We start from the raw sequence: 27489 nt of genomic DNA on the forward strand, positions 1-27489 counted from the left end.
TGAAAAAAGCAATAAGGGATGGGGCAGTGCTCTGGGGCTGGTCACGTCAGGAAGCTAGTACCACCGCTAGGTACTGAAAACTGGAGAGACCGTTCTATGGCAGGTGTTGGCTGCCAGGGGCTGTGGCTTTCCAATTAGAGGGATGTGCCAATTCCTGGTGTGCCAGCTCTCCCTCTGACTCTGCCGAGTCTCCACTGTCCTATCAGTGTAGTCCTTACATGCCAGCCTTGGAGGCACAGAAGAGAGCAAGAAGGGTAGAAGGTGGATGTGAAGGGGCAGTGGAAGATGGTGAGCTCAAAAGCAAGCCCAGCAGGGCCTCAGAGCTGTTTAATTACACGAAAATGAACCACAGAGGCAGCACACTGAATTAAAAGGCTCCTGTGGCAGTTTGTATATTGTGGGTGAATGACAATGGGAAGGTGTAATCAATTTCCATTTCCTGTCCCTTGCTCCCTAGCAACTTCCCACACTCAATGACTGGCTTGCAAATTTGTTTTGCTTTGTGGCAGATGATATGGATGCTGAGAGGTGCGCCCCTGCCCCCAAGTGTCAAATTCTCTATCTGAATGGCTCACGCCTCTGATTTCATATCTCGAAGTTGCCAACTTCTGCTGTTGAAGGAACAAAGCTGTGAGTGGCCTTTATTTAGCCTTCAAAGCAGAGTTGAGTTATTTCTTTTCTCTCTCTCTCTTTTTGTTTTTTTTTAGACAGAGTTTAGCTATGTCACCCAGGTTGGAGTGCTGTGAAACAATCATGGCTCACTGCAGCCTCTACTGCCTCGGCTCAAGTAATGATCCCACCTCAGCCTCCCAAGTGGCTGGGAACACAGGCACTTACCACCATGCCTGACTAATTTTTTAATTTTTGTAGAGACGGGGTCTCACTATGTTGCCCAGGCTGGTGTTGAATTCCTGGGCTCAATTAATCCTCCAGCCTTGGCCTCACAAAATGCTGACATTATAGGCGTGAGTCACCACGCCTTGTGGGAGGTATTTCTTAACCCCCTTCAACCAGTGCCCGGCCTATGGGATCTTAGCTCTGTCCATGTGACTTCCTGCTAAAACCTTTCCATCACCCCTCACTAGTGCATATCTGCAATCGTTCTCTCTCTCTCCCTTCCCTTATCCTTGGATATTCTAAGCCTGACACATCCACGTGAGCAATCCCCTCCTTCTCACCCTCTGGTACCCTACTGTCCGGTCCTTTCCTGCATGCCTGAGATGATAGGTAATTTTTCTTGACTTTTTGTGTCTAAGGAGGAACCTCAGGGGCACCCTAAATGTCTTGCAGCTCTGTGTGTTTGGGGTGGGGTGCTCAGGTGGAAAGTAGGTACTGCTAATGGAAAGGATCCTTGTGTCTACAGTTCTTAGCTTCTGCCTATCATAAAAATTGTGGTGTGCTGATTACTTTCAGGGAACTTTGCATGCATTGATAAACTTATTTAATTATCACAATAAACCTGTTGTGGCATTATTGCTATTTTGTGGAGGAGGACTATGAGGCGTAGAGAGGTCAATGACTTATCAAAGGTTGCACAGCTGTCTGTCACAAAGCTAGGACTTGAACTGCGTTAGATCTGTTTCTAAAACTCTTTCCAACCAACTCAGGAGGTGGTGAGTTCTTGGTCCCTGGGAGTATGTAAGCAGAGATTGAAATGCCACTTGTCATGAAGAGAGTACAGTCCAGGAGAGGGTCCCTTCCTCTTCTGAGATGCTAAGATTCCAGGACTTTTGCTTCTGATTCAGATATTCTATTATTGACATGTGTCTCTTGGGAAGTGCAGGTTGGGGTAAATGCCTCAATGGGGTCTGGTTATATGAGCAGGCAGGAGTCCTGGGTTACAAGGAGTGGGGAGAAGGGGCAGGAGGGTGTCACACTAGTGAGAAGTAATTAGGTAATAAGTTCCCCTTTCCCCTTTCTGTTCTTGCTGGTTCTTCCTTGCTGCCCTGGGCTGTTCTCTGAGTCCCAGATGGGCAATATTTAAAAATACATTCTGTTCTGAACAGAAATGTTATCAGGGTTGCAATGTGCTCTTTGCATATGGCAAAGAAACAAGCCCAGGGCTGAGAACAGAAGTGCTGGGTTTAACCTTGTTGCTGCTGCAGGTTCATGGTGTGACTTTGGGGAAATGTCCTCATCTGTTTAATAAGGGGTTAAGGAAGCTTCCTGCTGAGGACCTTTCAGGTCCTGATGTTCAGTTCCTTGAAGCAGGCTTGCACTATGCTTTGCAATGTGTGTTGAGTCATGGCTGTACTCCATAGTAAAGGCAGAGTGTGGCAGGTGTTGACTGTTTTCTCCTGCTCCTGCCAGCCCCAAGTCCTTTGGTCTCATGTGCCTCTCTTCTAAAGACTCATCTTACCTAGGAGGTGGTTCCAGAGAAGGAAGAGGGCTGGGTAGAGTGGAGTTGGGAGCTCTCTGTCTGGGTAGCAGCCACAATCAGAAGGAGACTGGCCCATTCTGAGCTTTCTTGGGCTGAGTGGCAGCCAGAGTCAAGCCCTCTGCAGACTCTGCAGAGCTATTCAGCTTATACAGACGTGATCCACCCTGCTGGTGACTGGTGGGGGATTCTTTTAGACTAGTGGTAAACAAGTCTAAATTGAATGATAAACAAGAAGGTGATGCTGGGGCATATGGTATTTGCATCAGTTATCTATTTCTCCTTAACTGGCTACCCTGAAATTTATGACAACACCATTTATAAAGCTGTGGGTTGGCAACCAGGGCTGGGCTTAGCCATTTGGTTCTTCTGCTAGTCTCAGTTGGGCTTATTAGGCATTGTGGCAGCCAGTCTCCAAGATGATCCTTTATGATTTCTGTCTACTGGTATTCACATCCTTGGGTGGTTCTCTCCCACACTGTAGCATGGTTGCACTCTGATCACTAGCAAATAGTGGAAATGATGGTATGTCACTTCTGAGATTAGGTTATAAAAGACTGCACCTTCTGTGTGGGTCACTCTCATTCATGCTTTCTTGTTCTCTCAGATCAATTACTCTGGAGGAAGCTAGCTGCCAGATTGTGTGCAGTTCTATGGAGAGGCCCACATGGTGAGGAACTAAAGCCCTTGCCCAATAGCCAGACGGGAATTCAAGCCTGCTAATCATCAGGTAACTGAGCTTGAAAGCAGATTCACCAGTCCCAGTTTAGCCTTGAGATAACCAAATTATCTGCAACCTTGAGATGTTTTGAGCCAGAATCATTCAGCTAAACTTCTCCCAGATTTCTGACCCTCAGAAACTGAGGGAAGAAATATGGTTTGAAGCTGCCTTGGGGGTAATTTATTATGCAGCTATAAATAACCAAGACACTTATGCGTGTGATTAGATGACAGTGATGGCCATATCCACATACCTGGCAGTTGGCTGGCTGATGGCTGGGGTGACAAGGGTACAAGGGCCACACATCTCTCATCATCCAGCAGGCCAGCACTGGGATTCTTCACATAGTGGTAGTCACAGTCTTCCAAAGGCAGCAAGAGTAGGTAAACCTCAATGCATAAGCACTTAACTTTTTTTAAAAATTTCAATAGTTTTTGGGGTACAAGTGGTTTTTGGTTACATGGATAAGTTCTTTAGCGGTCATTTCTGAGATTTTAGTGCACCCATCACCTGAAGTGTGTACACTGTACCCAATATGCAGTCTTCATCCCTCCCCACAACTCCCCCCATCCCGAGTCCCCAAAGTCCATTGTATCATTCTTACACCTTTGCGTCCTCCTAGCTTAACTCCCATTTATAAGTGAGAACACTCGATGTGTAGGCACTTTTAGAGCCTCTGCTTGCATTACATTTGCTAACGATCCATTGGCCAAAGCATATCACACGGCCAACCCAGATTCAAAGGTGAGAAAATAGCCTCCATCTCTTGATGGAATAGGAAGAATTTGCGGTCACTTCTGCAACTGTAGAACATGAAGCTGATGTAACATCTCTCATTACTCTAAACACTCCATCCTTCTCTACTGTTTCAACAGTCTTCCTTTTGTTAGACTCTGTGTCTAAATTAACAAATATTTATTGAGCAATTGTCACGTGGCAGGCGTTTTCACAGTCAAGGCCTTAATCAATACCTAAAAACAGCCCTTGCAAGGTAATCCACTTCATGGGTGAGGAATGGATGCTCAGAAAGACAAGGTGATCCTAATCCAGCTCTGGGGACTCCGAGTGTGGTGTTAGTTATATTTTCTTTGTCAAGATGCCCAGAACTCTCCATTTAACTTTTTATTTTTCCGGACACACAGGTAGAATATGTGGAGGCTGGTCCCTGGCTGGCTTCTCCCCAACAGTCACTGGTTGGGGCTAAAGGGGATCAGCCTGGGGCAGGAAGATTGGGCAGAATGAGCAGACTCTAGGGGGCGACAAAGGCCAAGGTGACTCCTCATTGCTACCCCATGCTCCTTTCCCTCCTTCCTTGCGTAGGTCTATCCTTAGAGAAGAGAAAGATGTTGCCCGTCAGGAGACAAAACATTCATCTTCAGGCTCTGAGAAACAAGGGGAAGGAGGGAGGGATGGAGAGAGAGAAGGACGAGGAGGAGGAGGAGGAGAGGAAGAGGGGAGAAGAAGAAGAGAGAACAGACGGGCATAAGAAGGCAAAAATAGAGGGAAAGCAATAAGACATAGAAAATTAAAGAGATACAGAATCATAAAACAGAGAGGGGGGAGATAAAGAGAAAAAAGAGCAAGGAAATAGGAAAATGAGCCCTAAAGACAGGGATAGAGAGAGACAGAGACAGGAAGATAGAGATGCCTGGAGAGATAAGGGAAACAGACAGAGAAGGGATGAAGAAAGAGCGAAAGGAAGTCAGGCTAAAGATGACGGTGTGTGGAGGAGAGGGGTATGGCGGGTGTCAGTCACACTGTGTGACCTTAACTAGGCCAGGTCATCTCTCTGAGCCCCATTTCCTCATCTATAAAAAGGAGCTGTCTTCAGGAACTGTTGTGAGGATGACATGAGAAAATACATGCAAGCACTCTGGAAATAGTAAAGTACTATACAGGTGTTCATTAGTATTATTGGTAGTATTATCATTATTGTTATTATTATTATGTCATGGTTGGGAGAACTTAATGCTAGAATGAGTGTCAGAACCCAGGGGCTAATGAGATATTGAACACCTCTTCTCTGAAGAGCAGCTTAGTGTCAACTGAAATTGGAGTTTCTTGATACTAAGGCACTACAACTTGTAAGATGCCCTATTGATTTAATTACACTTTGGAGTCGGGGAGAATTGCACATTAAAAATACACACTTAAGAAAAATAACTGACAACATGCAGTTGTTTCTACAACTGGTCACTTTTTTTTCAGGATCACAATCAGTGTTTGAGGGTATAATGGAACATCTCTATTCTGTTGAATTCCTTTAGGTCATCAGCAATTATGCAGAATATCATAGCTATGGTGCTGTTTTTGTATCTCATGGATGTGAACTTTATTTCTTTAAAATTAACAGTATGATCTCAAGATATATTGAATAATATTGGTATTTTGTGTGCATTTCTGCTTTGAATAAACACACAGTTCCCCTTTCTGTTCCATTATCTGCATTGCATATTTCTGGAAGTTAAATAGCTTTTATTGAAAGTTAGCTGGACGCTCTGATAGGCAGGTGTTTAGTGCTCAAGTTATAGGACCTGAAGGATCAATTTGACAGAACCATCTCAGAAAATTCTCTGATATATTCAGAGAGCCAAGGCAAGTTTAACTGCCAGTTACTGCACTGACTGGTGGGTAACAGTCCATCTCTTGCATAAACACCAAATTTATTTTTGCACCAAATTTAATATTTTTGTGGTACACTTAGAGCAATAATTAGGGATCTAAATTTAACAGTCAATCTGTATATTATTATCGTTGTAGATTACACAATTGAAGTAACATTGCATAAACATGAGAGAACTACCTGACAACTTACTCTTCCTCTTGGAGGCTGACCCACTATTGTAAAACACATTCTGTTTTCAGAAATTCTAAAGTGTAAAGAAGAAAAAATACAGGAAATGCTAGTGGCCAAGAACAACGGAAATGGCCTGGGGCAGCTTATTGATAAGAGAGAGAAAGCCAAATGTTTTGAAAAGGTCCTGATTATATCTAGCATATTAAAACAATTCAAAACTGGTATTTGGGAATTTTTGCCTCATTTGACTGAATGAGATTCTATGCCTGCAATACTTCTTGCTGCCACCAGGTAGTGATAGTGTCTAAAATAGCTTATGTGTCCAAACTATAATCTTCCTTTTGTGGCCAGTTAATCTCTGTGGCCAGCAATTTATGCACTGTATCTAATCAATTACTGTCCCCTCCCCTCCATTAAAATACAAATTATACTATATTAAGCAACATTTCTGGAAGCAATGTAACACAGTGCTCAGTCTGCTTTGAGCCATGGTTCTGGCTAGATTGAGTAAATTTGCTTTCTTATCTCAGGGTAGGAAAATAACAGTAGTGCTTTCTAGGACTGTGATATAGTCATCCCTCAGTATCTGAGGGGAGATTGATACAAAAATCCACAGAAGCTCAAGTCCCTTATATAAAATGGCATCATGTTTGCCTACAACCTACAGATATAACCTCCAGTGTACTTAAAATCATCTCTAGATTACTTAGATACCCAATACAATGTAAATGCTATGTAAATAGTTTTTACACATTTGTATTATTTTTATTGTTATATTGTTATGTATTTATTTATTTTTTATTTTCTGGAATATTTTTGATCCACTGTTGGTTGAATCTGCAAATAGGAACCCACATATAATGAGGGCTGACTGTATTTTGTATTCATAGAATACTTCCCACCTTACCAAGAGCCCCTCTTTGACCGTGCACCTCTAGGTGCCTACATACCCTGGTGTAAGGTTAATGTTTATAGGTCAGCTGTTAGCTGTGTTGGGCAGGGAGCATAGTTTATAACTGGACTAACCCCTTACGTTGGTAGATTTATTAATCCATACTTAGACAACAGTAGTAGCTCTTATTTATTAAGCATTAAGCATGTACTCAATACCCATTTCAATACCAGTTTCAATCCTTACAGCAATCCTATGAAGTCAATATCATTACTATTCTCATTTTACAAAGACGGAAATCCCCAGGGTTCTGGGAAGATTAAATAAGTTAATGCATAAGACTTGCTTAGCTCGCTGGGCGCAGTGGCTCATGCCTGTAATCCCAGCACTTTGAGAGGCCAAGGCAGGCAGATCACTTGAGCTTGGGAGTTCGAGACCACCCTGGGCAACATGGTGAAATCCCATCTCTACAAAGAACAACAACAACAACAACAACAACAACAACAAAACCAGACTTGCCTAGCAGAGTGCCTAGGATGTAGCAAGTGATCATTATTTATAGGGTGTATTATTACAGATGAGGAAACAACAGCTTAAAGGGCCAGCTGGGGAGACAGGCCTGCAAACTGAGAAGTATAAAGCAGCAAAGTACAAGGGACTGGATAAAAGCACAGACGGGTTGGGTGCAGTGGCTCACACCTATAATCTTAGCACTTTGGGAGGCCAAGTCATGTGGATCACCTGAGGTCAGGAGTTCGAGACCAGCCTGACCAACATGGTGAAACCCTGTCTCTACTGAAAATACAAAAATTAGCTGGGTGTGGTGGTGGGCACCTGTAATCCCAGCTACTTGGGAGGCTGAGGCAAGAGAATCACTAGAATCCGGGAGGCAGAGGTTGCAGTGAGCTGAGATTGCGCCATTGCACTCCAGGCTGGGAAACAGAGCGAGACTGGTCTCAAAAAACAAAAACAAAAACAACACAGATGATGGGATAATTAATTGGGGAAGTATCCAAGAAGGCTTCACAGAGGAGGAAACATTCAAACTGGACCATAAATGACAAGTAGGGGTGGTGGCGTATGTTGTTCATTCCCCATTTTGTTCTTCTCTTCTTCCTTTAAATAACAGAAATATTCCTCTCAGATTTAGCAGGACACATGGCCACTTAGTTAGAGATGATAATTATCATCCTTCTTTGCAGCTAGGTGAAGCCATGGGACTGAGTTTCTATACTAACTAAAAGCAAGTGGAAGTGAAATCGCTTGCCACCACTTCCCATGGCTGGAATGTGGCCATGATGTGAGTGAACAAGTTTTGGCCATAAGGAGATGGTGGGACAACAAAATAGAACGAACCTGAGCCCCCAGATGAGCTTGGTGAGCACATCTGTCCCATTCACCTTGGGCCACATGCCTATCTTCAAGCCATTACATGAGAAGTGCATAAACTTCTACCCTATCTGAACTACTGTATTGTTGGCTCTTTTGTCTGAAGCCCATTATTTAGCCAGAAGCCTAAATAGTGCACCAGGTAAAGGAAAAGGAAGACTTGTAAGGCAGGAGGAACAGCCTGTCCGAAGACATAAAGAGTGAAAGAAGTTAGTTTTAGGAAACGTTCTCACAGGATTTTGTTTTTTGTTTTTTTTTTTGAAGATCAAATGAGATAATAAATGTATATAAAATCCTTAGTAGAGTACCTGGCACATACTAAGTTCACAATAAATGAAAGTCCCATTTTTTTTTTCTGTGTGATACAAATTACTTCTCAGAGCCTCATCTGTAAAATGGGGGTAATGTCACCTGTATGATGAAAACAGAGGTCTGAACCTTTCTACTCTAAAATAGTATGAATAGCTTGCAGAAATTCTATTGGGAGCAAGGTTAAAAGGAAAACAATTATCAAGAAACGAATGAGTACCCTGCCTTTCACTGATTTAAATAATTTACTTTAACAAAACCTCTGGTGCTCTCCATCTCTACACTTTAGCTAACATTGGTCCTATTCCTTCCTCCTAAAAATATTAGTCATTCCTTGAATGAGTTGTGGATACTCAGTGCTCCAAAGTTTTCATAGGCAGGTTTCTCAGGGCTTTCTCCTCCTATTCTCCTAACTCCTATTCACCTCACAAGACTGTACCAACATCACATGTCCTGGGGCTTCCCTGACCTTATGGGAAGATCTGCCTGATTCTCTTTATGCGACAGGTACTCCACTAAGGCCGTACACTCTCTCTTATTGGTTTAGGTGTTATTTTCACCTGCCAGACTGTGAGCTCTTCCAGGGCAGACAGCATGAATGTTTCATTTTTGTTTCTTCAGCACCTGGCCACAGTAGCTGTTCAGTTCTTATTACTGAATAAATGAGGTGTTCTCCGGCAAACATGTAGGATCAGTTAGAGTGTGTATGTGTTGGTGGGGGTGTGGGGAGGGTGGAGCACAGAGGATTTCAGGGCATCAGAAGGGCAGATGTAAAAAATGAACACGTCTCTCATCCACACAAGTCCGGGACTTTGTCATTTAGACATTATTAGGGGAAAAAGAAGAGGTAGTCTGATAGAATGGAAGCTATCTAGTTTAAGAAACAGGAGGCCTGATTTCCCTCCAAACTTGTTCAGGATTCATCTGTGTGACTTCAGTAAGTGTCCTTCCCTCTCTGAGCCTTATTTTTGGCGATTCCGTTTCTGGTCTTCCAGGAATCTAGGCGTCCTCCAGCTCTGAGATTCCCAGGGGCCTATTGGCCTCGGGGAGAGAATAGGCCTGGCTTTCAGGCCACATGAGGCTGTGACCCACAGCTGGCACTGGTCACCTCCGCTGTCTCCTCTTCCTCTCTCCTCCTTCCCTCACACCCCCTTCCTCCATCCTCCCTCTTCTTCCCCCATTGTCCTCCCCATCCTTCCCTTCCTCCCGCCTCCTCCCCTGGCTCCTCCTCTCCCCGTCCGGGACTCGGGGGGAGGCGCGCTGGGTGGTCCGGCAGCCGGGGGCGGGCGGTAGCCTGCAGGCGTAATTGGCATGCACGCCGTTGTAGCTGAGACCGCTTAATAAAGCATTACATATCTCACCGCTTCCATATTTCATTACCTCACGCGGAGCCTGTGAGAGGGCCCTAATGGGAGTCAGCTGTGTTTTTACTTTCTGTTGTCGGCCGGGACGGGTTTCTCTGCGGATTCTTTGAAATGAAATAATGTGATGCACGCCGCGATAAGGGCCGGCCTGTAATGAGGCCCAGGCCGCCGGGCGGCTGCTATTGCTCCAGGTGTCGCGTATTTGGGCTGCGAGGACAAGGAGGAGGAGGGGGCGGCGCCGGAGGATCGGGGGGGAGGGGGAAGTCGCGAGGGGCAGGGGGTGGGAGAAGGCGGAGGGAGGAGGCAGGGGGCAGGGGGCGGGCGGAAGAGGGGAGGAAGGAGGGGGCGGCGGGCCGCGGCAGGCCAGGCGGGAGAAGCCGGAGACAGAGAGAGGACGGGGACAGTGGCGGCCTGCAGAGCCCTAGGAACCCGGGTTCAAATCCTGCCCGCCAGCGTGAGAGAGCGTTTGCCCGCCCAGGCGGTCCACCGGGGTGAGGCTAATATTCATCTCACGGGGTTGTGTGCAGGTAAATGAAGAGGGTTTGTAAATTGGAAAGGACACATCACACATAAAAGGAATCATTTACTGAGAGAAAGGAACTGACGCCCTTTGAGCATCCCCTCTGGGCATGGCAGCTGCCAGCCACTTCACTGAATGATCACAGCAGCCTCACTTGCTAAGAATTGTTACCTTCCCTTTACACAAGAGGAGACTGAGGGTCAGAGCAGCGAGGGGCTGGCTCCAAGGCACACAGGAAGAGGCTGAGGGCAGCCCTAGGCAGGTAGCCAGATGGAGATAGAGTTGGAGGAGAAGTTGGTCCACTGCCCGCTGACTGGGCCACCCTGGCACCCCCCTCGAGGGGAGCTGGGCTTTCTTCTCCACCTTGCTCTATGGGCCTCCTCCTGTGGGTCTGAGGCCTTTGCCCTCCACACGGGGATGGAATGGGGTGTGGTGCAGGACTCCTTGTAGGAGGGGCAGTGGCTGGCTGTGGGGAGAAGTCCTTAGGAAGCCCCCTGTTCTGAGCATGCTCCTCTGTTCAAAATCCCACAGCTACAGTCCCTGAGTGTCAGCTTGCTTCGTGTCCACTCTGTCTTCATCTCCAGGAAATAAATGCTCTTTGAGGAGTCTTGTATCTCCTCAGTGTCTCTTAAATCCACTCACTTCTTGCCCTCCCTCCTGGCACTGCCCTGGGCCAAGCTTCTGGTCCTGCTTCGGACACTGAAGGGATCTTTCTGAAATGCTGACTCACGCTGCTGTCCTTCAGCATCGGGCTCCTCATTGCTCCCAAGGGCCTCTGGCTTCCCTAGCATGCCCTAGCAGGCCCTCCCTGCCTGGACTTTAGAGCCTCCCCCAGCTCCTCAGCTTCATCTTTATCACACCCCATCCCTGGCCCTGCCAGACTAGGTGACTGGCCTTTCCCTGAGTTCATCTCTGGACACTTGCTCATGCTGTTCGCTCTGCTTAAAATGCTCTTCCCACATGGAGCCACCTTGGGAGTCCTATTCTATCTCCAAGACTCAGCACGATGACTGCTCATTCCAGGAAGCCTTCTTGCCATGTGCTCCTCTGCTTCCGAGTTGTGTTTGCTTTCTTTCTTCTCTGAGCCTCAGTTTCCGCATATGTAACACGAAGGAGTTGGGGGCTGATCTCTGGGCTGCATGGTCTCATGAAGTTATGGGGTTAGGTGCTAGTTTCCTCTTGAAGGAGAAACAGATAGTTTGAGTGTGTCAGCATGTTAGATGATGACCATATCGTATGTGCCTGCCACATGGCACACATCACATTGGTGCTTTATATGCATTAGATACATGCGTTGCTTGGGATTATGCTGCAGTAAACGGAGAAGCTGGGATCAGAAGCCAAGTCTTTCTGATTCCTGAGCCTGTGCATAGGTGCGTGAGCATATGCATATGTGCTTGTCTGTGTGTGTACATGTAAACTCAGTACTCAGTACTCAGTGTTGGTGGCACTTTAACCTGCTCAAAACCCTCTCACCTCCAGGAGCCCGTTGAGGTTGGGATATATAGACATAGAGAGGTTGGGCTGTTGCCTTAGTTACACAGGTGCTGGGAAAAGAAGGGGGGTGTGGAGCAGGAGGAGACACTCCTCTGGCCCAGAGAACCAAGTGAGATCCTCTCCGTGCAGGATTCTTTGCTCTTCAACCTCGGCCTAACTTTGACAGCTTTGTTTCCCAAATAACCTCTTTACTGCATCCTAACTTTCTGTATATAGGTCCTGCTTTGGAGCCTTTGCTTAAACTGGTCCCTGCATCTGGAATGCTCTTTTCCAAAGCCTGCCTGTGGACGTCTTATTCTTCCTTCAAGACCCAGCACAGATCCCACTCTTCACAGAAGCCCACAGAACCATCTCTTTCTTTCCCTGTTTCATGCTCTGCATACACTTTTCTCGCCCAGCTTAGAGTGTTAGCTTGGAGCATCCTTGTTTCAAGACCATGAGCTCTGAGGTCAGAGGCTGAGTTTAACTCTTGGCCAACAGAGACCTGACCTGGTGTGGAATAGGTATGTTGGATATGCTTGTGAATGCCTGGCCAGGCAGGATGTGTTTTGAGGCTCACTGCAAATGGATGCAAGTTCTCACTCATTGAAAATGCTTGATATGTGGCAGGTAATAAAATTGTCATTATTTATTACTGTGCTTTTGCTTGGGTCAGGTTTGATGTTGCAATCTGTATTTCATTTTATTCTTACAATAACTTACAATCCCATTTTACCAGTGAAGAAACTGAGGCTAACTGATACTAAATAACTTACCCAGACTGTAGAACTAATCAGTATCAGAGCCAGGACTAAAATTCAGTTCTGTCTGCCTCAAAAAAGGAGTCTGGGCAGGGCGTGGTGGCTCACGCCTGTAATCCCAGCACTTTGGGAGTCCGAGGTGGGAGGATCATGAGGTCAGGAGATCGAGACCATCCTGGCCAACATGGTGAGACCCCGTCTCTTCTAAAATACAAAAAATTAGCTGGGCGTGGTGGTGCGCGCCTGTAGTCCCAGCTACTTGGGAGGCTGAGGCAGGGGAATTGCTTGAACCCAGGAGGCAGAGGTTGCACTGAGCCAAGATCGCACCACTGCACTCCAGGCTGGCGACAGAATGAGACTTCCATCTCAAAAAAAAAGAGTCTGTCCTTTTTGCACACATCCCATGGATCTGATTGCAAGCGCCTTGTGCTCTGTGTGTCGGTCAAACAGGGATGCTCTATTGATTAACGTGCAAATGATTTTTTGAGAGAGGGCTTAAGTGTAGTTCAGTCTTAGCCAGCCACAACTGAGATTTGCAACCCAAGCCCTAGTCCTCACCAACCATTCTGCTATCAGGTTTTCATCTCTAGACTGATTGACAGGTATTTTTTTCCCTCCCTGACCCAGAACGCCAGGCCTCCAATACTACTGAAATGTTTGCGCAATCTTGAAGCATTTATTTAAAAGTTGCTTTTCCCCAAAGGGCCTGGCCTCAACCAGATCCTGAGCCAGATCCAAAAAAACAAACAAATCCTATCTTTACAAGCTCCTCAGCTGGGCTGCGTGGGGCGGGTGGGGGTGGGGGTCCCCTGGGTCCTACCTTTCCTTGGCTGGCTGACAGGCCCGCCCCAGGGCGAGGAGACCGCCTGCCTGTTTACAGCCCTTTCCAATTCACAGGCCAAACAGGAAAGGGGGGAGGGGTTAGAGAAGGGCACAAATGTCAGAAATCACAAATCATACAGTTGCTCCTCAAAGCAATAGGCGGTGGAGATGTTAATGGGGACGTGGCTGGGTTGGGCTTCTTGAATGCTCGTCAGGGACAGAGTGAGACCCTGGCTACCACTTTGCAGGTCCCAGCATCAATAACTAAGCTCCCCATAACCTGCATAGCATTATGGATCTGAGGGGCAGTGATCTCTCAGATGGGTGTCAGAGGACCTGAGTGCCACACCTGGCTGGGTCTGCGTTGCCAGCCAGGCCCAAGCTGGTGTACATTGGGGTTGCCATCACTGTTGCTTGGAAAAGTCCATTCAACTTTCTGGCCTCCACCGTCATGGACCCATGAGGGGCTGATCTCCAGCTCTGGCATTCTCTCTCTGTGAATCATGCCCATCCGGACTCTTGGGCAAAGCAATGAGGAAAACAGGGAACCCCCCTTCATGGAAGGTATTTTGTGTGCCTGGTACAGCATTTGGTACTGTCTGGAGGTTGTCTCATTTACTTGGCACAGCCTCCCTGAATGGTCTTTGCTGTGATTCCTTCCTATATGTGAGGAATCCAGGGCCAGCACTGGAACCCACGGTCCACCTGGCCCCCTCCTCCCTGTCTCCCGGTACGCCCGGCAAAGCACTGACACCAGGTTGGATGGATGGCCTGATTTAGAACAAAGTCTAGAGTGTGCAGAGTGTGGTGTGGCCTGCATTGTGTGCCCAGGAGTGGGACCGAGGTGAGGCAAGGGCTCTGCAGAAGTGGAGACTGAGGTCTAGAGAATGGCTATCTCTCACCCACCTTCTCACAGTCACTGAGGAGCCTTCTGGTCACAGATGGGCACACTGAGGCCTGTGACTAGGCGAGCTCGAGCTATGTCCCTGAGGTGCTGCCTAAGAAATTGGGCTCAAACACTTTGCTTTTTTCCAAAGACCTCTAATGTGCAGCCCCACTGCAGGGTTCCCGCTGGGCATTATCCATTCCTGCCATTGGATCTCTGCTGCCTACTGCGAGATACCAAACTCATTAATGGCCTCTGTGCTCACCTCCTTGTCCCAATCAGTGCCAAGGCCACTTAAGCTGTGTGTCAGTCCTTACACGGACTAGGCAGTGCCACACCTCTGCCTGTACCTTCTAGAATGCTTCCTGGAATACCTGCCTGGAATACTACCTGTGTCACCTTAGGCAAGTGACTTAGCTTCTTCAAGCCCCAGTATCCTCCTCTACAAAAGAAGGACCTTATGCAATAGTAGATGTGCAAGTGCTTTGTGACCACAAGGCCCAAGCTGGTGTACCTTGGGATTACTATCACTGTTGCTGTTTTCAGTGGGCTGTTGTCAGTCTGGCCAGGAGCTTCTGTTGAGTGACCCATTGATAGACTGGCTTCTTCTCTTTGCCCCAACTAGACCCCTCTGTGAGCTGTTTGTGCTGACCTTGGGCTGGGAAGATGCTCTCAAACACCTGTTGTGGGCCAGGCTGGGAACTCTAGGAAGAAGCAAATCAAAGAAATATTTTGCTGGGAATATACGCTAAGGAATGTAAATCATTCTGTTATAAAGATACATGCATGTGTATGTTCATTGTAGCACTATTCACAATAGCAAAGAAATGGAATCAACCTAAATGCCCATCAATGATAGACTGCATAAAGAAAATGTGGTACATGTACATCATGGAGTACTATGCAACCATAAAAAGGAATGAGATCATGTCCCTTGGAGGGACATGGATGGAGCTAGAAGCCATTATCCTCAGCAAACTAATACAGGAACAGAAAACCAAACACCACATGTTCTCACTTGTAAGTGAGAGCTGAACAATGAGAACACGTAGACACAGGGTGGGGAAGAACACACACTGGGGCCTGTGGTGGGGTTGGGGGGATGGAGAGCATCAGGATAAATAGCTAATGGATACTGGGCTTAATACTTAGGTGATGGGTTGATGGGTGCAGCAAACCACCACATTTACCTATGTAACAAACCTGCACATCCTGCACAGGTATCCCAGAACTTAAATTTTAAAAAAAGAAAAAAGAAATATTTTGCTATTGTTTCCTTACACCCAGTTCCCAATCCATTGCATGTGTGCAATTGGGGGCAGCCTGGAGGAGGGGAAAGAACTGGCCGAGCTCTACCTCCCTGCCGCTGGGAGCCCTGACAGGGCTGGGACCATGTCTGACTTTTCGCTGCATCTCTAGAGCCCAGAATAGAACCTGGGACTGAACAGGCACTCACTAAGTATGTGTTTATATATATGAAATAATTTTGAGAAAGTTATCTCAGTTCTCTGAGCCTCAGCTTCCTCATCTGTAAAATGGGGATGATAATACAACTTAACTCATAGGTTCATTGTGAGGATTAAGAATAGCAATCTATGCAAGGTACTTAGAATAGTGCCTGGCACGTAATGATAATGCTCTCATGTACTTAAGAGAAACAAAGGCTCAGAGAAGGTAATTGCTTTGTTCAGTGTAAAGTGGGAGAGCTGGGAATGGAATTTAGGTTTGTCTAACTCCAGAATCTCAGATGTTGACCACTATTGTCTATTACCTGAGGTAGGTTAACCCACAGCATCCACTTCCTCCCTATTTCAGAGTAATAGAACTGTCAAGTTTTACTTAAGCACCTGGCCATCTAGAATAAAGACTATGTTTTCCAGCCTCCCTTTTGGCTAGATGTTGAGTTCTGGCTGATAGCAGAAGTTAGGTATGAAACTCTGGGAAGTCTCCTTGAAGGGAGTAGACATGAGTTCCACTATGAGTCTCACTCTGTCGCCCAGGCTGGAGTACAGTAGCATGATCTTGGCTCACTGCAACCTATGCCTCCCAGGTTCAAGTGATTCTCCTGCCTCAGCCTCCCTAGTAGCTGATGGTTGAGATTGTGTCCTAATAGCTGTAGTACCAGCCAGCAGACACCTTAGATCATGAAGTGACAGCAAGATAATGAAGCCACACATGGTGCAGCAACCAGGCAGCAGGAACCTGCGTCCCTGACAATGTAGGATCCATTGTATCAGCCTGTTTTTGAAGTCAGAGAGAAAAAAACTTTGATCTGTTAAAGGCTCTGTTATTTTGGATATGAATGTAATCCTAACTAATTCACTGTTGTCTCTCCATGGTAGACTTTCAATAACTAAATGTGCCCTACCATAGTATCGCCCAGACTGCAATGTTATGAAAATTATTTGTTGTCTTTGTCATGAGAGTGAGCTCTGTGATGGCAGGGACTCTGATTTTTCTCTGCTAAGTCTCCACTGACCAGTCCTGTGCTAGGCACCCAGCAGGTTAGTGGCTCTCTATTGTGCCAGCTGAGCTAAGCTGGAGCCCTGTTTCCCAGAAATCCTTCTCCTGCATAGTTCCAGGTTAGCAAGGGCTGCAGGAGATATTTTGCCTGAGATTCAGAAGGTGGCAGTGAAGTAGCAGCCATATTCTTTCTGGGCTGGGAAGGTCAGTGTGGGGACCTGAGTTCTTGCTCTTGATTGCTTCTCTCCTGGCTTGCCTGGTTGGCCTGGGGCAGCAGCCAGGGTTCTGTGGCTCCTCCAGCTCTTACCCCATCTGCCTCTTCAACTTCCCTGAATCTTGGGCTGGTTGCATGTGCAGTTCTATGATGAAGAGTTCTAGCTTCTCCAAGAGAACATCTGTTATTGAAGTTAGAGGCTTAGGGTGGTGAGGATCCTCGTGGGTCCCAGTTTGTCCTTGCTTCTCCTGCTTCATATCATCTTCCCTTCTGCACTGCCAGCCCTGTGGCCCTCATATGGAAGCATGTGGACTATCTAACCAGCTCCCACACTTGCATAAGATCAATCACTATAATAAATACTTTTCTTTCTTTCTTTTTTTTTTTTAATGATACAGTGTCTTGCTTTCACCCAGGCTGGAGTGCAGTGGCGCATTCATGGATCACTGCAGTCTCAACCTCCCAGTCATAAGCCATCCTCCTGCCTCAGCCTCCTGAGTAACTGGGGCTACAGGTGAGTGGCACCACATCCCTCTAATTTTTTGATTTTTTGTTGAGATGGGGGTTTCACTTTTGCCCAGACTGGTCTCAAACTCCTGGCCTCAAGCAACTGTCCTGCCTTAGTCTCTCAAGGGGCTGGTATTATATGTGTGAGCCACTATACCCTAAATTTCTTATTCTGTGTATCTTCTGGTGGTTCTTTCTCTGATTGATACATAGGTATTCAGTAAGTACTAATTGAGTTAAGGAATGATTTATTTGATTGGCCCCCTGGTATGTGGTACCTACTAATGAATGTCTATCTCTGTCTGCTTGGAGGCTGATGCAGGTGGGAGAAGGACTTGGGCTCAAACTCTAAGACCATATGTTTCCCAGCCCTTTTGGCACAGCATGCCTATCTGTGTCCAAGTAGAGTTAGAAGGGGCCCGTGAGCTAGAGGGAGCTAAGAGAGAATATAAGGAGGGGACTTAGGGTGATATTTAGGTTGGCCTGGATGCAGGTCTCAGTCACTCTGACAATATCCATCTGATATGGTTTGGCTGGGTCCTCACCCAAATCTCATCTTGAATTGTAGCTCCCATAATTCCCTCATGTTTCAGGAGGGACCCAGTGGGAGATAATTGAATCATGGGGGTGATTCCCCCCATTCTATTCTCATGGTAGTGGATTAGTCTCATGAGATCTGATGGTTTTATAAGGGGAAACCCCTTTTGCTTGGCTGTCATTCTTCTCTTGTCTGCCACCATGTGAGACAGGCCTTTCACCTTCCACCATGATTGTGAGGTCTCCCAGCCACGTGGAAATTTGAGTCCATTAAACCTCTCTCTTTTGTAATTGCCCAGTCTTTGGTATGTCTTCATCAGCAGCATGAAAACAGACTAATACAGTATATTGGTACCAGAAGTGGGGTGCTGCTGAAAAGATACCTGAAAATGTGGAAGCGACTTTGGAACTGGGTAACCGGCAGAGGTTGGAACAGTTTGGAGGGCTCAGAAGAAAACAGGAAAATGTGGGACAGTTTGGAACTTCCTAGAGATTTGTTGAATGGCTTTGACCAAAATGCCGACAATGATATGGACCATGAAATCCAGGCTGAGGTGGTCTCAGATGGAGATGAGGGACTTGTTGGGAACTGGAGCAAAGGTGACTCTTGTTATGTTTTCTCAAAGAAACTGGCAGCATTTTGCCCCTGCCCTAGAGATTTGTGGAACTTTGAACTTGAGAGAGATTATTTAGAGTATCTGGCGGAAGAAATTTCTAAGCAGCAAAGCATTCAAGAGGTGACTTGGGTACTGTTAAAAGCATTCAGTTTTAAAAGGAAAACAGAGCATAAAAGTTTGGAAAATTTGCAGCCTGACAATGCAACAGGAAAGAAAATCCCATTTTCTGAGGAGAAATTCAAGCCAGCTGCAGAAATTTGCATAAGTAACTAGGAGCCACCAAGACAACAGGGAAAATGTCTGCAGGGCATGTCAGAGACCTTTGCGGCAGCCCCTCCCATCGCAAGCTGAGAGCCCTAGGAGGATTTGTGGTCCTGGCCCAGGGTCCCTCTGCTGTGTGCAGTCTAGGGACTTGGTGCCCTGCATCCCAGTCACTCTAGCTGTGATTAAAAGATGCCAAGGTGTAGCTCGGGCTGTGGCTTCAGAGGTGCAAGCCCCAAGCCTTGGCAGCTTCCATGTGGTGTTGAGCCTGTGGGTGTACAGAAGTCAAGAATTCAGGTTTGGGAACCTCTGCCTAGATGTCAGAGGATGTATGAAAACACCTGGATGTTCAGGTAGAAGTTTGCTGCAGGGGTAGGGCGCTCATGGAGAGCCTCTGCTAGGGCAGTGTGGAAGGGAAATGTGGGGTGGGCGCCTTCACACAGAGTCTCCACTGGTGTGCTATCTAGTGGAGCTGTGAGAAGAGAGCCACCATCCTCCAGACCCCAGAATGGTAGACCCATCGACAGCTTGCACCGTGTACCTGGAAAAGCTGCAGACACTCAATGCCAGCCTGTGAAAGCAGCCAGGAGGAAAGCTGTACTCTGCAAAGCCACAGGGGTAGAGCTGCCCAATACCATGGGAACCCACCTCTTGCATCAGCATGACCTGGATGTGAGACATGGAGTCAAAGGAGATCATTTTGAAGCTTTAAGATTTGACTGCCCCATTGGATTTTGGACTTGCATGGGGCCTGTAGCCCCTTTGTTTTGGCCAATTTCTTCTATTTGGAATAGCTGTATTTATCCATTGCTTGTATCCCCATTGTATCTAGGAAGTAACTAACTTGCTTTTAGTATTACAGGCTTATAGGTGGGAGGGACTTGCCTTGTCTCGGATGAGACTTTGGACTGTGGACTTTTGAGTTAATGCTGAAATGACTTAAGACTTTGGGGGACTGTTGGGAAGGCATGATTGGTTTTGAAATGTGAGGACATGAGATTTGGGAGGGGCCAGGGGTGGAATGGTATGGTTTGGCTGTGTCCCCACCCAAATCTCATCTTGAACTGTATCTTCCATAATTCCCTCATGTTGTGGGAGGGACCCAGTGGGAGATAATTGTATCATGAAGGCGGTTTCCTTCATACTGTTCTTGTGATAGTGAATAAATCTCAAGAGATCTGATGGTTTTATAAGGGGAAACCCCTTTTGCTTGGCTCTCATTCTTCTCTCATCTTCCACCATGTGAAACGTACCTTTCACCTTCCACCATGATTGTGAGGCCTCCCCAGCCACGTGGAACTGTTAGTCTATTAAACTTCTTTCTTTTGTAAATTGCTCAGTCTTGGGTATGTCTTTATCAGCAGCATGAAAATGGACTAATACACCATCTCTGCCCCAGAATGGGCATCCTGAAGTCTGGGGGACCATCTGTTTGTCTAATCAGCCTTTGCAGAATGGACAAGAAGGAATACCCAAGGCTAATGACTCTGACTCTCAATCTCATCGTCACTTAAAGGACTCAAGAGATGTGGATGGCTCCTTATCATGCTCCAGGAACCCTCTACCAGCTCCCTATCAGCCTTGTGATAAAAGCCAAGACCCTTAAATCTGTGTACAAGATTCTCTGTGACCTTGTCCTTGAACCCCAGCCAGCACAATAATGTCCCACATCATTTGGCCTTAACCTCAGTGAAACTGAATGAATGAGATGTGCAGGTCTATGCATTATAAATTTTTCTTCTTCTTCTTCTTCTTTTTTTTTTTTTTTTGAGACAGAGTCTTGCTCTGTTGCCCAGCCTGGAGTGCAGTGGTGCAATCTTGGCTCACTGCAACCTCCGCCTCCTGGGCTCAAGTGATTCTCCTACCTCAGCCTCCCGAGTAGCTGGGATTACAGATGCCTGCCACCAAGCCCAGCTAATTTTTGTATTTTTAGTAGAGATGGAGTTTTGCCATGCTGGCCAGGCTGGTCTCAAACTCCTGACGTCAGGTGATCCACCCGCCTTTGCCTCTCAAAGTGCTGGGATTACAGGCGTGAGCCACCGCGCTCGGCCTATGTACCTATAAATTTTTATCTTCAGTTATTCTGTGCCATCAAGAGCCTCAGTTTTTAAGACTTTTTCCCAGATCAGGAGACTCTTCTTGTAGGTGGGAGAGTCAAGTCCAAAGTTTTTTTCCCTTAAGAAGCTGTTTGTCTATCTATTCACCCATCTATCTGTTCAACCACCCATCCATCCATTCGCTTATCTATCTTTCCAGTGCTCTCTGGCTCTACTCTGGGCCAGGCCCTGTGATCATGCTGAGAATCTTGGAGATGAATTAAATATACCCTCTGATCTCCAGCGGCTCACAGTGGGATAGACAAAGATGATGCAACTAGACAACAAAAAATATAAACACATAAGTGCCATCTTGAGAAAAGTCAAAAGCCATGGAAACATAGAGGATGTCCCATCCCAGCCAAGGGGGTCAGAGGAGGCTTCCTAGCAGAGGAGACATTTGAGCTGACTTTGAAGTACAAGAAGGCATCAGCTAGACAGGGAAAGCATGAAAGAGTTGTGCAGAGAGTACAGCATATGCAAAGGCCCAGAAAGGGTCAGAGAGCATGTTACAGTGGTTGCAAACTATGTGTGGTGGAGATGGTTGAGGGGTGAGAGAGAGGTCACAGCTAGAGCCTAGTCCAGATTTCTTGCCCCGTGAATCTGCTCCAGGTTCTTCTGGAAGTGGGCTGGGAGGAGGTGCAGATGGAGGCCCTGCAGAGCCAGTGCGGCTTGTATTTAGCAACTGGTGCTAGGTTCGAGTGAGTACTCACTAGGCCTGGGGGTTCCTTGGGCAAGAGGAGTTACGTGACTCAGTCTCAGGCCATCTCCTCAAGCAGATGTGTATGAGCAGATGAGGCACAAACTGCAGAGTCAGGCAGATGGGGTCAATTCTTGGCTCTGTGTAGACAGGTAACTTTGGACAAATCACTTTTTGAGCCTCAGTTTCCCATGGCTCAGTTGGGAATGTATCATTTACCCTAGAAGCCTGGTGATAACATTACTTTTCTCCCTTCCCTTTTCCTTACTAGATGATTCCGAATGGTCACTCTAGGTGAGGCCCAGGGAGATCCCCTTGGTACCCAAACTTGCTTTCCCCAGTTCATTTTGGTCAGAGTGTCCAAAATATGGTTCTGAATGCATCACCCACTGCTTGCGGGAAAAAGCACTCATTCCTTAGTAAGGCATTCAAGAAATCTGAAACTTTATAATATAATCTCTACCTCCTATTCATCCATCCACCCATCTGGCTGGCTGTCCTTTCATCTCTGTGTTCACCCCCTTATTCACTCAACAAACACTCATTTCTTGTCTCATCCCTCCTCCTCCTTTTCTTTCTTCTTATGCTCAGTCTCTCCAAATGGCCAGCTTCCTTGACCTCATGTTTGTGTGAACAGGCTGTTCCTTCTGTTCACTGGATGCAGTGGGATCCTTCCTTCCTTTTCCTATCACTCACCTACTTTTTCTTCCAGGCCAAACTCAAAGGTCCCTTCCTCCATGAAGCCTCCTGCCTTATCAGCTATCCTCCTTCTGGTCTTCCACTCCGAATGGCTTATCTTTTTATGGGACATGTATTCCATAGCATTGTTTTTGTGTCTGTCTGTTATCCACTGACCTCCACCCTACTCCAGCAGGGTGGCCTCTTTGTACAGTTGTTTGGGTTGTACACTGCACAGGAACACCCAGCTGAGGAATGTGCCCTAATGTGAGGGCTGTACCTCTCGAGGGAAGAGTGCTTTTTTTCTAATTCATACAAAGGTACCTGTTCTGCAAGTGATGAGCTCAAGTGGCTGAGCTCACCCATAGGGGGCACCTTTTTCTGTTTCCTACACAGGGGCTCTCTGAGCCAGTGGTGGCCTTCCCCTGATTCTAAGTTTCTGTAGGCCAGGACCACGTTGGCTTCATCCCTGTTCCCACCGCTCCTAGCATAGCAGTGCCAGGCCCCAGAGACCTCCATAAATGTTCTTGGAGTTGAAAGGAGAAGGCTATCAGTAGTGAATCTCTGTTCACTGGGCCTTGGAAGGGCAGGACTCATGCCTATCTTGTAGGGAGACGAGGCTTCCGAGTTGATGCAGTGGTGATGGCAGGTTTGTGTGGAAATTCCCCAGTAAGTGGTGTTCTGGGCCTGTCTCCCAGGGACCTCGAGAGCTTGCTGGAAGACCTGCAGACCAGGGCTCCTCTAAATATTGTTTTAAACTGATTGATGCCATGCCAGGCAGGGAAGGGACAGGCATTTTTCATACATGAAAAACAATACATTCTAGGGCCAAGATGAAATTATTTTACATTTATACGATAACAGGCAGGGAGACAAAGACGATGTTTGAGGACGTTTAAACCCTCAAAATCATTAGTCACTGTCCCAGCAGGCTACACAAATAAATGATCAATGCACAGAAAAACAAGGCCCTCTGAGGTGTTTGCCCAAGACCACTTATGTGTCAAACAGACTTATTAGATGTGAAGGGAATGATTATTTGCACAAAGTGAAATGAACATGTGCAATAATACTGTAAAATGTTTATTAGTCTAGAGTGTGCTGAATGTTCCTAAAATATATCAGGTTCTCAGCTTGCATTTAATGTACTGTTATAAATGATATCACATCCTTCCAAGCCGATTTTCCGCTTAACGCTAAGCTTCTTTGCTGGGGAAATCGTGTTTTCAGATCCCAAGTATGAAAACATTGTGGGGTTAAACTCTCCCTTCTACTCCCTAACCCCCACCCCAATCAGTTACCTCCCTATAAAACTTGTCCTGAGTCTGGCTGGGAGGGATAGGGCAGTTGGTCAGGCCAGATGGTGGTTGGAAAAGGAAAAGGGGGTCAATGAGTTATTGTGGTGGGGATATTAGGCTGGAAGTCCAGTGATTCAGATTTCAGGATCTACTCACTAATCTCCTGCTGTGTGACCTTGGGGTAGTCCCTTCCTCTCTCCGAGCCTTAATAATCTCAGTCAGAAAATGGGAATAATGTCTAAAGAGACTCCCAGAGCTGAACGCTTACATATTCTAAATCCCAGCTTGCTAAGTCATGAGTCTGAAAGATAAAAAGAGATTCTGGAAGTGAACAAATAAAGTGCTACAGAAACATTCTTATTTTTTTCTATGATTCTGGCCAATTCTTACTTAACCTTTGAGGCCCTGACCAACTGTCCCCTCCTCTGGGAAGCCTTCTCTGACCCGCTAACCAGCTGGTCAGTCTGTCATCTTTGCTCTAACAGTGCAAAATCCTTGTGTCCCTTATTGCCCCGCCAGCTCATGGTATCACCACATCTCTCTGTGTGAACAGGCTCTTCCTTCTGTTCAGTGGGGAAAGCTCTACAGGAAGGAGAAAGTGGCTTCATTCTCTGTGCTGCTTAGACCAGCAGGACTCTCCTCCCTCAGTGAGTCGTCTGCCTCCATGAATGCAGCCGCTGAGCTGGCCAGCTTCCTGGCATGCATGTCCAGCTGTCAGCTTGCTCTGAACTGAGGTCCCCAAAAGATCCCCAGACCTGGGTCAGGCACAGAGCTGGTACTCAGGAAATGATTCGTGGATGCTGGATGGGGAGGAGCCGAGCTAGTGTGACCCTTGGAGCTTATCCCCCACCCACCCCGCATGTTAAAGATGGGAGTTTTATCCCAGAGTAGGGAAGGGATTGGCTAGGGGGCTACTCAGGCCTCTTGGAGAAGGGTCAGAGAGAGTGTTTCCTATAACATGTCAACTCTCCACCCAAGAAGGAGGGGTAGAGGAGCCCAGCCAGATCCCATGTCCTTGGCCCAGAACGGGGGTGGGAGGTATTGGTAGTGGGCAGTTCTTGGCATCAGCTGAGAGCACAGGGCTGGCTTTGGAGGTTGTGGAGGTGGTTGGGGATATGGGGGGTTTCCAGTTTCCTGGCTGAGTCACGTCCCTCTCCTTTCCCCTGCCCCCAGAGGTTTGCTCAAAGGCCCCCTGGAGGGTGATCTTCTGTGAGCTCAACTGATGGTCTGGGGATCTTTTGGGGATCTCAGTTCAGAGCAAGCCGACAGCTGGATGCGCATGCCAGGAAGCTGGCCAGCTCAGTGGCTGCATTCATGGAGGAAGACGACTCGTTGAGGGAGGAGAGTCCTGCTGGTCTAAGCAGAGTGGAGAATGAAGCCCCTTTCTCCTTCCTTCACAGCTTTCCCCAGAAATGACTGAAAGCAATCTACATGGAAATATATACTAAAACGTGGGAAAATAAAGTTAGAAGTAAGCATTCAAGGCAAAGATTAAAAAGTTTAGGAGGGTAGGGTGGATTCTGGAGTGAGGCTTCTAAGCAGGGATCCTGCCCTAAGGTAGGCCCTGCACGCTGTGGAGGCAGGTCATGTGTGTCACTCCAGGCTTCCAGTGGAGGGGACCCAAGCAGGTATGTGATTTATTGTGCCCACAAGATAAACACAGGACCTTTGCTTGGAAGAAGTGCCCTTGGTTGGAGGCCAGAGAAAAAAGTCTCCTGTGATTTCTCAGAAAGGGGCACACAGTGTCCCCAACAGCTGCCTGTCAGCAGCAACATAAGCTGGCTGCTTCTTCCTCTGCCTCCCCTTTCTTCTCTTTATTCTCTTGCTCCACCTTCTCTACTTTCCCTCCTCCTCCTCCTCCTCCTCCTCCTCTTCCTCATCCTTTTTCTTCTTTTCATAGAGTTTAGTAAAGTAGTCCTTGGAACACGGAAAGAAGTGTTCCTGTTCAAGTTGAACCCCGGGTAACTATTAGGGTGCTTTGCGTAGGGAGATAACCAGGCCCCAGCATGAACTTCAGGCGGCCTGGGCAAGTGTTTTTCCCCACCATAGCAGTGGGCAGTGGTGGGTTCAAGGTTATCCCCACTGAAGTGCAGTGCCGTATTGAGCATCTCGTAATGAGTGCCTTCTACATGCCAGACATTTATTGGGTACATCCTATGTTAACTCAGTTGGTCCTCACAACCTCCATTCAGGGTGGTTCTTCTTATTCTCAAGGTCACAGGCAGAATGTGGAAGAGCTGGTTTTGGCACCAGGTTCTTGCACTCCCAGGCTAGCCCCTGGCAGCCCCACTCCTGTCTCACTGTATGATCCTGAGCATTTCTATGGTCCTGACTCTTGATTTTCTCATGTGTACAGTGAAGGCCATGTGTTCCTGAGAGTCCCTTTACGTGGATAGTCTGTGGTTGCCTGAGTAGCTGAGTCCGCCTTTGCAGTGGGCTCAGGTAGGCATTTGGGATGCACAGGGACTACCTCTTGTTTTACCCTAAATAACTCCTCACCTTTGCCCCTTGGGCAGAGGCTCCTCCTGCTGGTTACCCTTAGAACCTGTCCCTGGATTGGGCCTCTCCCCCAAACTCCCTTCCCAGAGAGACTGAGGCTCACATGGAACCTGCATTCCTCAAGCAGGGATGGAGCCTCAAGATTTAGCACCTGAATCAACTTCTTAGGCTGCTGTGGGTGGGCCAGGCTAGGTGGTAGAGTAGATTAGGGATTGGGACACAATATTCTCTTGCTTTAAACCCCACTAATTATACTACACTCCAGATTCGTTGCCACGCCCCTACATGACTGGGCTCCTGCTTCCCCTCTGACCTTATTTCCTCCTACTCCTCCAGGGTACTCAGCATCCCCTCACATCAAGACAGCCTTTATAGCTTCCGTATTAGTGAAGGCGACCCAAGCTGCTGCAACTGATACCACTCCCAGATTTCTGTGGCTTAGCCCGATAGTTGGTTTCTTGCTCACATTAAGAGTCCAGTGGGCTGCTCCAGTGGCAATCATGGGCATATCACAGCCTCATGGTGCTTCTCATTGTGATAAGCATGTTCTGGGGCTTCCTCAGCTTCTTGGTTCCCTGGTTCATCCCTAAGAGTCTTAGCAGAGTAGTTATCATCACCATATTGGTGACCTGTTCAGTTTGCTGCTCTTTTTTTTTTTTTTTTTTTTTTTGAGACAAGATCTCACTCTGTTGCCCAGGCTGCAGTGTAGTGGCACGATCTTGGCTCACTGCAGCCTCAACCTCCCAGGCCCAGGATCCTTCTCCCTCCTCAGCTTCCTGGGTAGCTGGGATGACAGGTGCATGCCACCATGCCTGGCTAATTTTTTGGTATTTTATGTAGAGATGGTGTTTCACCATGTTGTCCAGGCTGGTCTTGAACTCCTGGGCTCAAGCAGTCCTCCCACTTCTGCCTCACAAAGTGCTGAGATTACAGGCATGAGCCACTGCACCCAGCTACTGCTATCTCTTTTGGCTAGTTGCAATTCTTTTTCATTTCTGTCCTCTCTTTGGACCACAGTTGAAAAATGAAACCAGCTGGTATCTCAGGCATCATTGGCCTTGAGGAAGAAGACATGCTCTATAGTGCTAGTCATTGACGTTATGAGAAGAGAATTCCTTCTAGATGCAAAATCTCCTCCAAACTGAGACCTTCTTTCTTGACTTGCCTGTTTCGGACATCAGCTGCCTTAAACATTCACACCATATCTGAATATCTTATTCTACAATGCAGTATTTCTTCCTTCACTTTTTTTACACTTTGACTTACTATGTGCCTACCTAACCTAACTGTGCTGACTCCACAAAG

General features: G+C 47.0%; 1 pseudogene, besides 1 other annotated feature; it reads left to right on the top strand.

Moving 5' to 3' along the window:
- Positions 13467–13967: an enhancer, noted in NCBI's record as "H3K4me1 hESC enhancer chr1:48002646-48003146 (GRCh37/hg19 assembly coordinates)". NCBI's record gives its function as "activates a minimal SCP1, AML or CMV promoter by ChIP-STARR-seq in naive H9 embryonic stem cells {active_cell/tissue: H9 hESC(naive)}" and the evidence as "EXISTENCE:reporter gene assay evidence [ECO:0000049][PMID:30033119]".
- ATP6V0E1P4 (ATPase H+ transporting V0 subunit e1 pseudogene 4) lies at positions 26689–27243 on the top strand (annotated as a pseudogene).

Source organism: Homo sapiens, chromosome 1 (assembly GCF_000001405.40).
Source record: "Homo sapiens chromosome 1, GRCh38.p14 Primary Assembly".
NCBI classification, from domain to species: domain Eukaryota; kingdom Metazoa; phylum Chordata; class Mammalia; order Primates; family Hominidae; genus Homo; species Homo sapiens.